This window comes from Homo sapiens, chromosome 1, assembly GCF_000001405.40.
Source record: "Homo sapiens chromosome 1, GRCh38.p14 Primary Assembly".
Lineage (NCBI taxonomy): Eukaryota > Metazoa > Chordata > Mammalia > Primates > Hominidae > Homo > Homo sapiens.
In genome coordinates, this window is record NC_000001.11 from 61,779,703 (window position 1) to 61,796,065 (window position 16,363).

The window sequence follows — 16,363 nt, forward strand, 5'->3', positions numbered from 1 at the left end:
GAATGTAAAGGAGTTCTGTCTTTATCCATTTAGTGTTGCTATAAGGAAATATCTGAGGATGGGTAATTTAAAATAGGTTTATTTAGCTTACAGCTCTGCTGGCTGGAAAATTGGGCATCTGGGGAAAACCTCAGGCTGCTTCCATGGTGGAAGGTGAAGGAGAGCCAGTGTGTGCAGAGATCACGTGGGCAGCGAGGAAGTGGTGGGTGGGGGGCAACTCTCTTTTTAACAATCAGAGTGAGAACTCACTGCACTAAGTAAACGCACTGCAGAGAACTCAGAGCAAGAACTCACTGCACCAAGCCATTCATGAGGGATTCACCCCCATGACCCAAACACCTCCCACTGGGCCCCACCTCAAACAATGGGGATGAGATTTCAACATGAGGTTTGGGGGGGACAAACATCCAAACTGTAGCAAGTTCTGAGACCAGAATGTTTGAGAATGTTCATTTTATAGACCTTTAAAACACATCTGTGGCTGGGTGCAGTGGCTCATGCCTGTAATCCCAACACTTTGGGAGGCCGAGCTGGGTGGATCACTTGAGGTCAGGAGTTCGAGACCAGCCTGGCCAACATGGTGAAACCCCGTCGCTACTAAAAATACAAAAAATTAGCCAGGTGTGGAGGTGCATGCCCATAATCCCAGCTACTCAGGAGGCTGAGGCATGAGAATTGCTTGAACCTGGGAGGCAGAGGTTGCAGTGAGCCAAGATCACGCCACAGCACTGCAGCCTGGGCGACAGAGCAAGACTCTTTCTCAAAACAAACAAACAAACAAAAACCACACACATCTGTGGCACAACACAATATTCTTTAAGGATTCTTAAAAAAAATTTTTATAACCTGGAAATAATAAAATATTGCAGAAAATTTTGGGATGCCTTTCTTTGTATTCCCTCCCTCCTCCTGCCTCTGCCTTAGCAATTTTAATAGGTTTGTTTGTTGGAGTGGCATTTTTTTTTTTCCAAAATGCAAAGTGGAGTGGTTATTGTGAACAACAAAGGGTCAAGTAAATTTAAACAAAATCCAATAGGTTTCTTTACTGTAAGAATTTTCTGAGCTTTTAAAATACTAACATGCTTTATGAATTTTCACAAGAATAAGATGTGCAGAGTTTCCCAGATTAATCCCATTGAGGCATTGTTGGAAAAAGCCCAAGTCTGATTTTCGCCCTTTACTGGAAGGGATCGTCACTATTTCAGATCATCAAAGAGGAGGTAGAGGGTATGCTTGTCATAGGGTCATAAGTGCTCAAAGAGAAGGAAGTACTTACGCCAGACATTGTTATCTGCTTAATGTACATTATTCTCATGTAACCTTCAAAATACTCTTAGAAGTTTTATTCCCAAATTATAGATATGGAAACCATTAAGAAATTGCCCTAGGTTACAGCAGCTAGGTGAGCCACAAAGTCAGGATTGAGCCCGTACCTGTTTGATTCTGAAGTCTGAGCTTTGTTGTTTGAATTTATCCAAAGTTAATCCTAGTGTTTTCCTTTTCCTGATATACACCTGTGCACAATTGTTCACATCCATCAACAGGGAGTAGCCAGCTCTAGGAACAAGAGAGCTATTATCTCTTCTAGGGCATATGGTAAGGCCTAGCCATAGGGGACAGAGCACTATTCACTTCTCCTTTCCTCTCATGTCAGCTGATGGCAGATAAAATCTCTTCAGCCTTCTTGCTATAACCAACTTATCTCCTTCCTCAGCCTGGCCCCATTTGTTGCTTATTACCAGTCAATGTTATGCTTTCTATAACTCATGAAATGACTTAAGCTGCAGCACCCTCAGGCCCTAGGCTATGGCACAAGATGTGGTATACACCCTCCCTATTATCTACCTTTGGAGAAATTCTCAGCACACCTACATCCAAATTAGCCTCTGAAAGGAAAGAGCATAGGATTATAGTGTGTGAGCTTTAGAATCAGACAGATGAAGGCTTGAATTCTGGATCCACCTCTCACCCTGGGCAATTGACTTCTTGGCTTAATTCTATGTTTCTAAAATAGTCCCCAAGACCACTAGATTTGATGACTTGCTAGGAGGTTTCATAGGACTCAGCATACAGTTACACCCACAGCTATATTTATTACAGTGAAAGAATACAAAGCAAAATCAACATGGAAAAGGTGCATGAGGTGGAGACTGGAGGAAACCAGGCACAAGCTTCCACGAGTCCGCTCCCCATGGAGTCATATAGGACAGACACACTTAAGTCTTCCAGTGGTGAATTATGACCACACATCTGAAATGTCTGCCATGGAAGCCCATCAGAGACTCTGCACAGGGTTGTTACTGGATGCTGGTCACATAGGCACACACTGTGTAGCATATACCGAAGTCCTAGACTTGCAGAAGAATGCAGGTGTTCAGGAGAGACTACACTTTAGGCACCTAGAGCCATTTTTACCAGGGAATGGTGAGAACCCTCACAGAATCTAAGCTCCCAGGTGTTAGCCAAGGGCTAACCTTGTGAGAAGGCCTTTCCAAGGAAAGTAGTCTTAGGCCTGCCATTAATGCTTTTTTTTATTTTTTGGCAGGAGATAATTTTGCTTGCCTTAAATAAGAGGCTGTGTGAAAATTCAATGTTAATCAATGTAACATGCTTAGCACAATGCCTCTTAGTTCCCAAAATGCTTATAACCCACTGGGAGAGAAATGTATTCTCATTTTGCTTAAGAAGGATCTGAGACTTAGGGAGGATGAACAACTGACCTTTGGCCATACACTTTGTCCAAAGTAGAGCTAAGATTTGAACTTGGGTGCATCTGACTCCAAAGCCCTTACCTGTCTTTCTGTTGTGTCCTGCTGCTAATGATGTAAAAGAAATGAAGTAGAAAATAGCATTTATTTATTTTAAAAAATTGATTTATAGGAATCTTTTAAGAAACATTTGTTGAGATCTAGTTACAATGTCCAATCAGTTAATATAATCAGGCCAATTCCATGGATAGAGAAATTCTATGATATTAAAAGGGTAGCTAAAAGGCCTATCTCCCTGTAAGCCTCAGAGCCTCTCCAAAATTCACAGTGCTTGAAACACTCACCTTGAGAACATTCTATCAGTTGTGGCAAGAGTTAAACATTTTTTTGGGAGGTACTTTTTGTTTTGTTTTGTGTGACATTGATAACAGGCAGTGTAAAACCCTTGAAGTGCAGAAACCTCTTTCATGTGGTCTGGCGAAGTTCTAGGGCGGTCAGGTATACCGGAATACCTCGTTGTCTTCAGAACACAGCCTATTTAAAGGTTGTCATAAATGATTGACATTTTGGTATGAAACAGTTATAATATGAGTCTACTGACTACCCAGTAACCTAATACTAGGAAGGAATGGAACCAAGCAAGGGTTTGAGGGTGGATGTGAACTTTGAGAGACTTTCAGTGTAGAGTAAGGAAGGCCCAGCTTGAGGTCACTAAATGGTTGGTTAGTCCCAAGCAATTTTGCTTTGAGTGATTATATAAACAGATATTTTCTTTATCTATAAAAATCAGTTAATGAGTGCTCTGGGAATTTGAGTAGGATAGGATAGTTTCTTTAATTCCTTTAGGGAAACAGTGTATTTTATTTTGTAAAGTTACCCTTTTCTATCAATGGCATGTTGCCTTTTGATTGAAGACCAATAATAAAACTGGCCTGGAATCAAACATAGTTATGATTTCATTGTCTGAGTTGTGGAAGTATTTGGTGCCTTTTTTTTTCCTTTCTTTTCTTTTCTTTTTTTTTTTTTTTTTTAAATAGAGACAGAGTCTTGCTCTGTCACTTTGGCTAGAGTGCAGTGGTGCGATCCTAGCTCACTGCAGCCTCCAACTCCTGACTTCAAGCAGTCCTCCCAAAGTGCTGGGATTACAGGCATGAGCCATGGTACCTGGATTCATTTTTTAGTTTTTGAAGAAACAAATTTGATTTCTTCTTTTGTAGCTCAGGTCTGAATTCCTATAGGTTTAAAATTTTTTTTTTAAATTATCATCCACAACAGCATATCAGAGAAGTTAAAATGCAAAGTAATGTGAGTTTTTTTTTAGCCCAGAGTTGCTACTTTTTTTTTTTTTTTTTTCTGAGACAGGGTGTTGCTCTGTTGCTCAGGCTGGAGTGCAGTGGTATGATTTTGGCTCACTGCATCCTCCACCTCCCAGGTTCAAGTCTTGTGCCTCAGCCTCCCATGTAGCTGGGATCACAGGCGCTCACCACCATGCCCAGCTAATTTTTGTGTTTTTAGTAGATATGGGGTTTCACCATGTTGGCCAGGCTGGTTTGGTGATAGAGTGAGACTCCCTCTCAAACAAAAACAAAAACAAAAACTCCTGACCTCAGGTGATCTGCCCACCTCGGCCTCCCAAAGTGCTGGGATTACAGGTGTACATTCACTGTAAGTGTGTGATACCCTGTTGCTTCAGCTGTTTTAATTTTTCTGCCTTTCATACTATCTTTGCCAATATGCATAATTTTTTTCTCTTTTGAAAGAATCTATGGATTAATAAAACTTTTATATGTGAATGTTTGATTAGCACGCTACGTACTTGAATCTTGGCATAGCTATTTATTGGTTTTCATTGATTGATGATTTCTGTTAAAGAACAAAAGGGACTTTATGCCTTTTAGTTTCCTCACACAGAAGACAGGTTATGGACGGAAAATGTTGATCAGAAAATATCAATAAAATGCAGACTGGGGCTGCTGGACTTAGACAAGGTAGCTGTCATTTTGGTGTCTTTCTATCAATCTGACTAATGACTATTTTTGTACTTATGAATTCTTCAGAACACCTGCTTTTCTGTAGCAAGAAAATGTTTGACTTTCAGTGACAGATGCAAATTATCGACATCATTTTAAATTAAGAGTTGAGATAAAATAGAAGAAAAATAATGCCTAGGAAGTGACTAAAAATATACTTTATGATAAAATGCCCTTCTTTGGCCAAGCCAAGTATGAAAACACTTATTAGACATATATATTTTTTAATTTTTTGATCAGTGCATAATTCTGTTGAAGAATAGTTTGATTTACAGAGGCAACTTTACCCTTATTTTTCATCAGCACCACTGACTTTCTCTTAAGTAGTTGCTTATGTTGTTTCAAGTCTGTTGCATGCATGAAAACAGAATATCAGATTATCACTATTAAAGTAGAAATCCAGCAATTCTTCATTCTTTTTTTCATAACAATGTCCTCCTTGCCTCTGTTTCTGTTTTCTAAGTCTTTCCAGATGTTTCTGAATTAAATTGCATTTCCGCTGCACCACTTCTCTACACTTCCAGTCCCTTCTAGTGGCTTCTGCAGCATTTACAACAAAGCACAGAGCTTTGTACGTATTATTTCAATCTAAAGCATTCCTTCATTTAGGTTCCTGTAAAATTGGAGAAAAGGAAGGATGGAGAATAGACTTTTCAGTCTAAGGGTTTTTTAAAAAACTTCTTCCTTCAGATTGTCGTCTTTAGCTTGCGGTGGTGCCACCTGGAACTAGGAATTTGAAGCTCAGAACTGGATTAACCCAGTAGTCATTGCTCTCTTTTCAAGCTTTCTCTCCATGTTGCAGGATATCTATTTTTCATCTTCATTTCATTCAAACTTTTTGAGAGTTATAGGCAGTTTCTTGGAGAATAGGAAAGCAATAAATTTACTATCTACTAGCAGCCTTTGCTTGTAGGAGATTGACTTGCTACAGTAATGTTACTCTGGAGATACTGAAGTATAAGGCAAATAACTGAAATGAGAATAGTCTTCGGTGAGCAACTTGGATTCAGCTTTGGTTCAACCTTTTTATCAGCTTTGTGACCTTGGTCAAGTCAGTCAAACTGTTTGTATCTCAATTTTCTCATTTGAAAGTTGTCCTTCTCTAAGTGAGATGGTACATGAAAGTGATTTTGAACCTGTAAGGTGCTCTGCATGTATAAGTTTAAATGAAGCCAGCTGTGTTAACATTGTGGTATCTTTAATACACTATAATAAAGTGAATTCAGAATTTCTGACTAAACAAATTTAGGAAAAATTTTGTAAAAATTAGCTGTTTCAAAAATTTATCAAAGAAGGGAAATGATGAACACTTTGAACAGATACTCATTTTGATAAATTATTATTTACCTTCTGTGTATGAAATATACATACATATAAAAGAATGTATATAATATCTGTACACATTTTAAATGATAATTAAAACAATAATTATTTGCAAGACCAACTTGGGCAACAGAGTGGGTCTCTATCTCAACAAAACAAAACAATAATTACCAGTGTGTAATACATACCACCTAGCTTAAGAAATATAACATTATGTATCTTTTCTTTCAACTCATCTGGAATCTTGACTTATTTATTTATTTATTTTATTTTTATGAGGTAGAGGCTTGCTCTGTCGCCCAAGCTGGAGTGCAGTGGCGTGATCTTTGCTCACCGCAACCTCCGCCTCCCAGGTTCAAGTGATTCGCATGCCTCAGCCTCCCGAGTAGTTGAGATTACAGGCATGTGCCATCACACCTGGCTAATTTTTGTATTTTTAGTAGAGATGGAGTTTCTCCATGTTGGCCAGGCTGGTCTCGAACTCCTGGCCTCAAGTGATCCACCCACCTTGGCCTCCCAAAGTGCTGGGATTACAGGTGTGAGCCACTGTGCTGGCAGAATCATGACTATAAATACCTCCTATGTGCTAATGACCCGCAAGGTGTTTTGTTGTTGTTGTTGTTTGTTTGTTTGACCTCTCCCCAGCTCCCAAATTTAAATACATAGTCTGGATTTCTCTACTGAACTTCAGGTTTGTGTATCTGGCTGTATACCTGTTACTTCTACTTGAATGTCTAATAGGTATCTAAGACAACAGCTCTGAAACTGAACTCCTGATTTCCACCTCGCCCATCTGTACCTCTGTAGTCTGCATCTCAGTTCATGGCAACTCTATCTTTCTAGTTGCTCAGGCTAAAAACTTGGAGTTTTGACTCCTTTTCCTCCCTCACAGCCCATATAGAAGCTATCTGCAGATCCTATTGACAGTTTATTAAAAATATATCTTGGCCGGGCGCAGTGGCTTATGCCTGTAATCCCAGCACTTTGAGAGGCTGAGGCGGGTGGATCAAGAGGTCAGGAGTTTGAGATCAGCCTGACATGGTGAAACCCCATCTCTACTAAAAATACAAAAATTAGCCGAGCGTGGTGGTGCGCGCCTGTAATCCCAGCTGCTCAGGAGGCTGAGGCAGGAGAATTGCTTGAACCTGGGAGGCGGAGGTTGCAGTGAGCTGAGATCATGCCATTGCACTCCAGCCTGGGCAACAGAGTGAGATTCTGACTCAAAACAAAACAAAACAAAAAACTATCTATCTATCTGTCTATCTATCTAGAATCTCACTTCTGAACACCCCAACTGTGAAACACACCCAAGCTATTGTGGATTATTGCTAAGGCCTCCCAACTTGTATCTTTGCTTCTATTGTTTCCTCTTCTGTAGTTTATTTTAAGCACAGAAGCTTGAATTATGTTGTTAAAGTCAGTCAGGTAATGTCACTCCTCTGTTTCAAAACTCTGCTCGATGCCTTCTCTTCCCAATCATGAAAAGAAGATGCCCTATACTGTCTGACTCCATTAACTCTCCCATCTCTTAGACTACTCTTCTTTTTCCTCATTTTCTTGTAGCCGCACTGGCATCTTTCTATTCCTCAAACATGTCACTGAGGATGTTGGTTGTGAAGTTCCCAGTTTTATGCTGGAGGCTTCTGTTCTGACCTTTCCTTCTTGAGGCCCTGGCCTTTCTGTCCTCTTCCTTGCACACGTGACCATTAACACCCAACTCTAGGCCATTAGGCATGAGCTTATACCCTCAACAAAGGCCTTTTTTAGAATACTGATTACTTTTCTCATTTTGAGCCATTCCTTTGTGTTCTACATGAAATTCCTTTACTCTTGCCATTTCAACCAGTTATTAACAGTATTCCATTTTATTCAGCATTTTAGGTGGCTTCTTTGTCAGCCATTTTGCCAGAGCTGAAAGTCTGATGAATTGTTATTAACCAGTGAAGTTACAGCATTTATTTCTCAAAATAATTTTGTCTTTTTCTTGAAGGATGGAAGACTCCAGACAGGGGACCACATCTTGAAGATTGGTGGCACAAACGTGCAGGGAATGACCAGTGAGCAAGTTGCACAAGTTCTAAGGAACTGTGGGAATTCAGTCAGGATGCTCGTTGCTAGAGATCCAGCTGGTGACATTTCAGTCACCCCCCCTGCCCCTGCAGCCTTACCTGTTGCCCTGCCTACTGTAGCCAGCAAGGGCCCTGGTTCTGTGAGTATACATATCATTCTTTCATCTTAAACCAAAGCCTGGGTGTGACACACTGTAAGATAAGAAATTCTTTCAACTTGAAGCACCACATTGGTGTGAGTTGTGCGCTCACTAGTGAAACAGGAAAAAAAAAACTTATTGGGAGACATTAGACATGTTGGTTTTCTGTTTCACTGTTTCTCAGGGTTAAGTCATTCAGCCTCCCTGAGCGTCAGTGACTTATTTATAAATTGAAGAATAATAATACTTGCCTTGTCTATTTCATTGGGCTGGTGAGGAGACATCCAGGTGGTGGAGGGAAAACTGTAAACACTGGCCGATGTGTGAGAATTATCACTGGTAGCCACAGGCTGGTTAAAGGGAATGGATATCAATAATATTTATTATACTAATTATTTTAATTATGTAATAATAATAGTTATTATTTTAAATTATCAAGCACCTGGAATTGCTCAGGTCATCTGAAATCTTCACAGTAATTCTGCCAGATAGGCCTTATTATACATTTAATAGATGAGGAAAATAAAGTCAAACATCATGTTAAAGACCTTATAGGGAGTAAGTTGCAAAACTGGAATTTGAATTCACATCTTTCTGGTCCATTCCAAACTCCTTCCCATTATCTCAACATGGGCTTTTAATGAAGACATAATAAAGTAAAAGCAAAGAAATAAGTTTTTTGTTTGTTTGTTTGTTTTGTTTTGTTTTGTTTTGTTTTTGAGATGGAGTTTTGCTCTTGTTGCCCAGGCTGGAGTGCAGTGGCACTATCTTGGCTCACTGCAACCTCTGCCTCCCAGATTCAAGCAATTCTCCTGCCTCAGCCTCCTGAGTAGCTGGGATTACAGACATGCACCACCACGCCTGGCTAATTTTGTATTTTTAGTAGAGATGGAGTTTCTCCATGTTGGTCAGGCTGGTCTCGAACTCCCAACCTCAGGTGATCCGCCCACCTCAGTCTCCCAAAGTGCTAGGATTACAGGCGTGAGCCACCATGATGACCAGAAATAGGTTTTGAAGGGAGGGTCCAGGAGGAAGAGGAAAGAAAAGAGAAATGGGCCAGATGCGGTGGCTTACGCCTCTAATGCCAGCACTTTGGGAGGCCAAGGTGGGTGGATCATCTGAGGTCAGGAGTTCAAGACCAGCCTGGCCAAGATGGCAAAACCCAATCTCTACTAAAAATATAAAAATTAGCCAGATGTGGCACACACCTGTAGTCCCAGCTACTTGGGAGGCTAAGGCTGGAGAATCATGTCAACCGAGGAGGCAGAGGTTGCAGTGAGCTGAGATTGCACCACTGCACTCCAGCCTGGCCAACAGGGCAAGACTCTATTAAAAAAATAAATAAATAAATAAAATAAAACAAAACAGACAAAAAAAAACTGAAACAAAAACAAAAGGAAAGAGAAATGATTATGGTGGAAAAGGGTGGAAGGCCACTGATTATCATCACCTGAGATGTCATTCTGTGTATTCTGGGAAGTTGTTGCCTTTCTCTACTTGGAACAGTATGAGTGGAAGTTTTCTATTTGAAATATCAGAACCTTTAAAAAGTTTCTCCAGCCGGTCTTGGTGGCTCATGCCTGTAATCCGAGCACTTTGGGAGGATGAGGTGGGTGGATCACATGAGGCCAGGAGTTCGAGACCAGCCTGGCCAACATGGTGAAACCTGACTCTACTAAAAATACAAAGGTTAGCCAGGATTGGTGGCACACGCTTGTAATTCCAGCTACTCAGGAGGCTGAGACAGGAGAATCACTTGAACCTGGGAGTTGGAGGTTGCAGTGAGCCGAGATCCTTCCACTACACTCCAGCCTCGGTGACAGAGTGAGACTCTGTCTCAAAAAAATAAAAAGTTTCTCCAAATTGTGGTTACATTTTCTTTTTCCTCCATTACTCTAGTTCCCTGGAGCCTTCTACTTTGTAGTGAGAGACAAATGTGGATATGTGATAAGTGGAAACTTGATCCAATCAATTATTTACTTTTTCATGTTAATGTTTTGAATTAAAAGCTAAGTATTATGTATTTAGACACCTTACTCCTTTACAGAAATGTTTAAAAGATGAGTATTGAAAGTAAGTCTTAGGACCAGATGCAGTAGCTTACGCCTGTAGTCCCAGCTACTTGGGAGGCTGAAGGGGGAGGATTGCTTGAGGCCAGGAGTTTGAGGTTGCAATAAGCTGTGATTGCTCCATTGCACTCCTACCTGGGTGACAGAGCATGATCCTGTCTCTGAGAAAAAAAAAAAAAAAAAGAAGAAGAAGAAAATAAAATAAGTTTTAGGTCGATATTTTTATATTACTGAACAATAATTAGTCTTATGTTTTGTTTCTAAATTTATGTTCATAGTTCTTTCAGATACAAATACAGCCTTTTTTCTAAGTGGTTATATTAGCTTTCTATTGTTGTATAACAAATTTACTGGTTTAAAACAATATCCTTTGTTAGTTCATAGTTAGTTCACAGTTCTGTAGGTCAGAATTCAGGGTGGGCTTGGCTGGGCTCTCTGCTTAGCTTCTTCTTCTTTTTCTTCTTCTTTTTTTTGTTTTTTTTTTTTGTTTGAGACAGAGTCTTGCTCTGTTGCCCAGGCCAGAGTGCAGTGGTGTGATCTCGGCTCACTGCAACCTCTGCCTCCTGGGTTCAAGCGATTCTCCTGTATCAGCCTCCGGAGTAGCTGGGGTTACAGGCATGTGCCACCATGCCTGGCTAATATTTGTATTTTTAGTAGAGACGGGGTTTCATCATGCTGGCCAGGCTGGTCTCCAACTCCTGACCTCAGGTGATCCACCCACCTCAGCCTCCCAAAGTGCTGGGATTAGAGGTGTGAGCCACTGCACCTGGCCTCTGCTTAGCTTCTTACAAAGGCCAAAATCAAAGTGTGGGCCTGGCTGGGCTCTTTTCTGGATGCCCTGGGGACAGCCCATACCCAGTCTCATTCAGATTGTTGGCAGATTCTTGTTCCTTGCAACTATAGGACTGAGGTCCCTTTTTATTTGTCGGCTGCCAGCCAGAGACCTCTTTCGGCTCCTTAAGGTCCCCTGCATTCCTTGTCACGTGACTCCCTCCATCTTCAAACCACAAGTTGAGTCCTTAATGATTCAGATCTTTTTCATTTCTCTTTCTGCTACCAGCAGGAGAAAACTCTGCCTTTAAAGGACTCCAGTGATGAGATTAGGCCCACTTGGATAGTCTCCATTTTGCCATGTAATATGGCATCAATATGGGAGTAGCACCAGGAATTGAAGGTCATGGGACCATCTTAAAATTCTGCCTGCCATAGATGCTAAGAAAATACTTGACAAACCTTGCACAGATTGACTATGTACACACAGGTATGCCACTAAGCATATATAATTAAATTTGTTTTTTCCTTTTAGGACAGTTCTCTTTTTGAAACTTATAATGTTGAGCTTGTGAGAAAAGATGGGCAGAGTCTTGGAATTAGAATTGTTGGCTATGTTGGAACATCTCATACAGGTAAATGAATCATTTCTATTTTATATTTGGAAATTGTAAAGGATGTTAAGGTTTCTAGATAGTGAAATTAAATACTTGCAGATTTTAATTTAAATCTTGAACAATAAAACCATGAGTCTATACTAGCAAGCAGTCACTTCTCAGTGATTACAGAATCACATTTTTATCTCAATAGTTTTATAGCTGGCTTGATATCCATTAACAAAAGAATATAATTGGCCAGCTTAGTGTATAATATTTGAATTGTATCTTCTCTTGTTTGTAAAATAGCTATATTATGAACATTGTTAACATATTATGATAGATTAGATTTGTGATAATTAAATTGATTTCTGTATATGTTTCATATTGTAAATGTTCCCAAAGTATGACTATTGTGTTTTATCACTAAAAAAAAAAGTTAAAACAAGCATTTTCATTAGAACTATTTTCTTTTCATGTGAAAGAAATAAACTATGAGAATAAGTACACAATTCAAGTATCCCTGACTAAAACTCTCTCAACTCCTATCTGCAAAGCTTTGGTAACTTTCACTATAAGATTTATTCCTTTATTATAAGAGAATTATTAGGGTAAGAAAAAATAAACCTTTCCACAAATATTTGCTAATAATATGAAAATTCAGAGTTATAAAATGTTCAATTTTTTTTAAGAGCAAGATTACAGAGTTCATTTCCTTAAAAAAAAATTGTTATTTTGCATACTTACAGCAGGTGGAAGGATTAAGAGTGCTAATGTATTCAAAGTCCTGAATGAAATTCATGTCAGACCACCTTGTGTTATTTTAGCCTAATGAACTATCTTTTTTCAAACCTTTAGATTCTACGTGCCACCTTTATTTAGGTTCAGAATTTAATGACATTCAAAAGAGCTCAGTGTGGATTGTATAATAATGTTGCAAAAAACCACATCAAGTAGTTTTCAATATGTTAAGTCTGGTTAGAGGAATCATTAGTTCCTAAACTTATGGTTTTGTTCCTAAGTGAAAGTGAATGACTGGTAGAACATTAAGAAAATTTAATGTTTATATTACTGGATAAAGGAAAGTATCATTTTACTATTTTACTTCTTTTGTTTGTTTATTTGTTTTTGTTTTTTTTTTGAGATGAGTCTCGCTCTGTCGCCCAGGCTGGAGTGCAGTGGCGCGATCTTGGCTCACTGCAACCTCCGCCTCCCAGGTTCAAGAGATTCTCCTACCCCAGCCTTCGGGTAGCTGGGAGTACAGGCATACACCACCACCCCCGGATAATTTTTGTATTTTTAGCTGAGACAGGGTTTCACTATGTTGGCCAGGGTGGTCTCAAACTCCTGACCTCAGGTGATCTGCCTGCCTCGGCCTCCCATAGTGCTGGGATTACAGGCATGAGCCACCGTGCCTGACCCATTTTACTTCTTTACCCTCAAAAGTTTTTTGGACTGGGTAATTAGGGGTGGCAGGGAGCACATAAATCCAAACACAACTCAACATGCTTTTTAACAAGTAGTCTTTGAAAATGATTTTTGCTTTATTCTATTCATTGGACTTTTGAGCAGTTCTGGAGAGGGTAGAAAAATGAATAAGAGAAGTCTGTTCAGGGAGACAAACATATAAGAAACACTTAGTTCTTTTTTAAAAATTATTATTATCATTTTTTTTCTTTTCTGAGATGGAGTCTCGCTCTGTCACCCAGAGGTGGAGTGCAGTGGCGTGATCTTGGCTCACTGCAACCTCTGCCTCCCGCTTTCAAGTGACTCTTGTGCCTCAGACTCCCCAGTAGCTGGGACTATGGGTGCGCATGTGAAATCCACAGATATGCGGGGCCCACTGTACAAGCAAACTATCATGGTATGGCAGATGACATATTCAGTTTGTCAGAGGGAAATGGAGAATTCACAAAGAAGGCGGCATTTGAGCTATGAATGGAAAAGAAGGGTTTCGATAGGTCAGAGTTTACCAGAAGAAAGAAACTAGAGAAAAGGTAAAATCATGAAAATGCTAGATGTTTTGGGGAAATGTCAAGTGCGTGCTGCGGACTGGGCTTGGTGGCTCATGCCTGTAATCCCAGCACTTTGGGAGGCTGAGGCTGATGGCTCACTTGAGCCCAGGAGTTCAAGACCAGCTTGGGCAACATGGTGAAACACTGTCTCTACAAAAAATAAAAAAAAATTGTAGCCGCAGCTACTCGGGAGGCTGAGGTGGGATCGCTTGAACTGGGGAGGCAGAGGCTGCAGTGAGCCGTGATTGTGCCACTGCACACCAACCTGCAACCTGGGCAACAGAGCCAGATCCTGTTTCAAAAAAAAAAAAAAAAAGCCTGGTGTGTCCAGACTTTTATTTTCTTGGAAAGTTGTAGTGGAAATTGAAGTCAAAAAATAAATTTGGGCAGATTATGGAGGGCCTTGAATATGATTCCATGAAATTTATATATTATTTCGTTGGCAATGGAAAGTGATTTATGTTTATTTTTCTTCTACAATTTTTTTTTTTTTTTTGAGACAGAATCTCGCTCTTGTTGCCCAGGCTGGGGTGCAATGGCACAGTCTCGGCTCACTGCAACCTCCATCTCCCAGGTTCAAGCGATTCTCCTGCCTCAGCCTCCCAAGTAGCTGGGATTAGATGTGCCCACCATCATGCCCAGCTAATTTTTGTATTTTAGTAGAAACAGGGTTTTGCCATGTTGGCCAGGCTGGTCTTGAACTCCTGACCTCAAGTGATCTGTCCGCCTCAGCCTCCCAAAGTGCTGGGATTACAGGCGTGAGCCACTGTGCCCGGACTTTTTTTTTTTCTTTAAGAGACAAGCCTTAAGCTCCTGGGCTCAGGTGATTCTCATGCCTCAGCCTCCAGAGTAGCTGGAATTACAGGCATGCGCCATTACACCTAGCTAATTTTTAAATTTTTTGTGAGATGACATCCCACTATGTCACCCAGGCTGGCCTCAAAGTCCTGGGCTCAGGTGATCCTCCCCCCTCAGCCTCCCAAAGCGCTGGGATTACAACTGTGAACAACTACACCTGGCCTACAAACAATGTTTTGAGTTTATTTGGAAATAAAAATGTAAAATCATGCAGATCTATTGTGTTTTATTTTCCAATTTCCCTTCCTGTCCCTTCCCATGGGAAGGCATGCTTTAAAATCAAAGTTTTAATTTAAAAATTTTTTATAGCCATTTGTCTGTTTCAATGTTTTATTTTATAATATGTAAAGATTATTTCATGTTGCTGAGCTCATACTAATTTGTTGTTGTTGTTGTTGTTGTTAAGACCATATGTACTTTTCTGGGCCAGGCGTGGTGACTCACACCTGTAATCTCAGTGCTTTGGGAGGCCGAGGTGGGCGGATCACCTGAGGTCAGGAGTTCAAGACCAGCCTGACCAACATGGTGAAACCCCATCTCTACTAAAATTACGAAAGTTATCTGGGTGTGGTGGTGGGCGCCTGTAATTCCAGCTACTCAGGAGGCAGGAGAATCACTTGAACTCTGAAAGTGGAGGTTGCAGTGAGCTGAGATCGTGCCATTGCACTCCAGCCTGGGCGACAAGAGCAAAACTCCATCTCAAAAAACAAACAAAAAGATCATATATAGTTTTCTTATTTCTGTGTCTGTGAAGCTAACATGAGCAGTGATCTAAATATAGGCAGGAAGACCTAGGAGACTCTTGTCATAGTGATGGTAAAAAAAAAAAAAAAAAAAAAAAGAAGTTTTATGCCACATCAGTAATAAGAGTAGAGACAGACTGAGAGAGAGTCAGACTTCCTCTGGGCTCTCCTGAATTCCAGCTTAAATTAGAGTACATTTCATCAGGGTTCCACTACTGATTATTTTAACGGAAGAGTAGTCATCAGTCAAATCATTTCAAATTCAGGTCACTTGAGATGGTGGCAGTTTGAAATAATCCATCAATTTCTCTGCTTGTGTTCAAAATAGTATTTATCAAACCTCCAGTCAACCCCGTTAGCTAATTAACCTCTTGATACAAATTTTGCAATCAAGGCCTAATTAGAATTTTCTTCCTTTTTCCGTATGTCTGTGCACCTTAAGGGGAAGCTTCAGGGATTTATGTGAAAAGTATAATACCTGGCAGTGCTGCGTACCACAATGGCCACATTCAAGTGAATGACAAAATAGTTGCTGTAAGTAACTCGCCTCTGTTTTAGGTTTGATTCTAGTTGAAAAAAAGGTTGATCATTATTATAATACATGTGAGAGGGGGAATAGCTTAATATAGTTTTATAAGGTTTTTTAAAAAATTAAGTTTGTTATACAGTGAAATCTCATTATTTTGGACTCTTCTTCCTACATTAAATTTTTTTTCACCGTCAGTGAAGAAAGGATTCACTAAACATATTGGTAAAAAAGTATATTTTTTCTATACATGTATGTTTGAAAGATGTTCTAGCATTATCCTAGAAAACCCTGCGAGGACCACACTGTGTTCTTTAAACTCACCCATTTTATCTATAATTAATAGGCCATTAACCAGCTCTTTCTATCTTTTTGTAAAAGTAGTTTTTCTGTTAACAATAATTATAAGTACAACTAAAATTGAGGTATTTTACATATTTAAGAATATAATATCACCTTTTATCAATTAAAACTGGTCTTTCCCCCATTTAGTAGAAATTAGTTCAATTTATATA

The 16,363-nt window shown here is 39.9% G+C and overlaps 1 protein-coding gene across 23 annotated transcripts in view; it reads left to right on the top strand.

Moving 5' to 3' along the window:
* The window catches only part of PATJ (PATJ crumbs cell polarity complex component), a 421,436-nt gene that overhangs the window by 37,223 nt on the left and 367,850 nt on the right, over positions 1-16,363 (top strand). For all 23 annotated transcript variants that reach the window (XR_007061928.1, XM_011540462.4, XM_011540467.4 and 20 more), the window contains 3 exons: positions 8,052-8,270; positions 11,646-11,745; positions 15,765-15,856. Coding sequence is in view for 22 of the 23 variants with exons in the window: in XM_011540462.4 (XP_011538764.1) it covers positions 8,052-8,270; positions 11,646-11,745; positions 15,765-15,856 (411 nt within the window). In the remaining variant the exon portion in view is untranslated. The remainder of the gene's footprint in view (positions 1-8,051; positions 8,271-11,645; positions 11,746-15,764; positions 15,857-16,363) is intronic.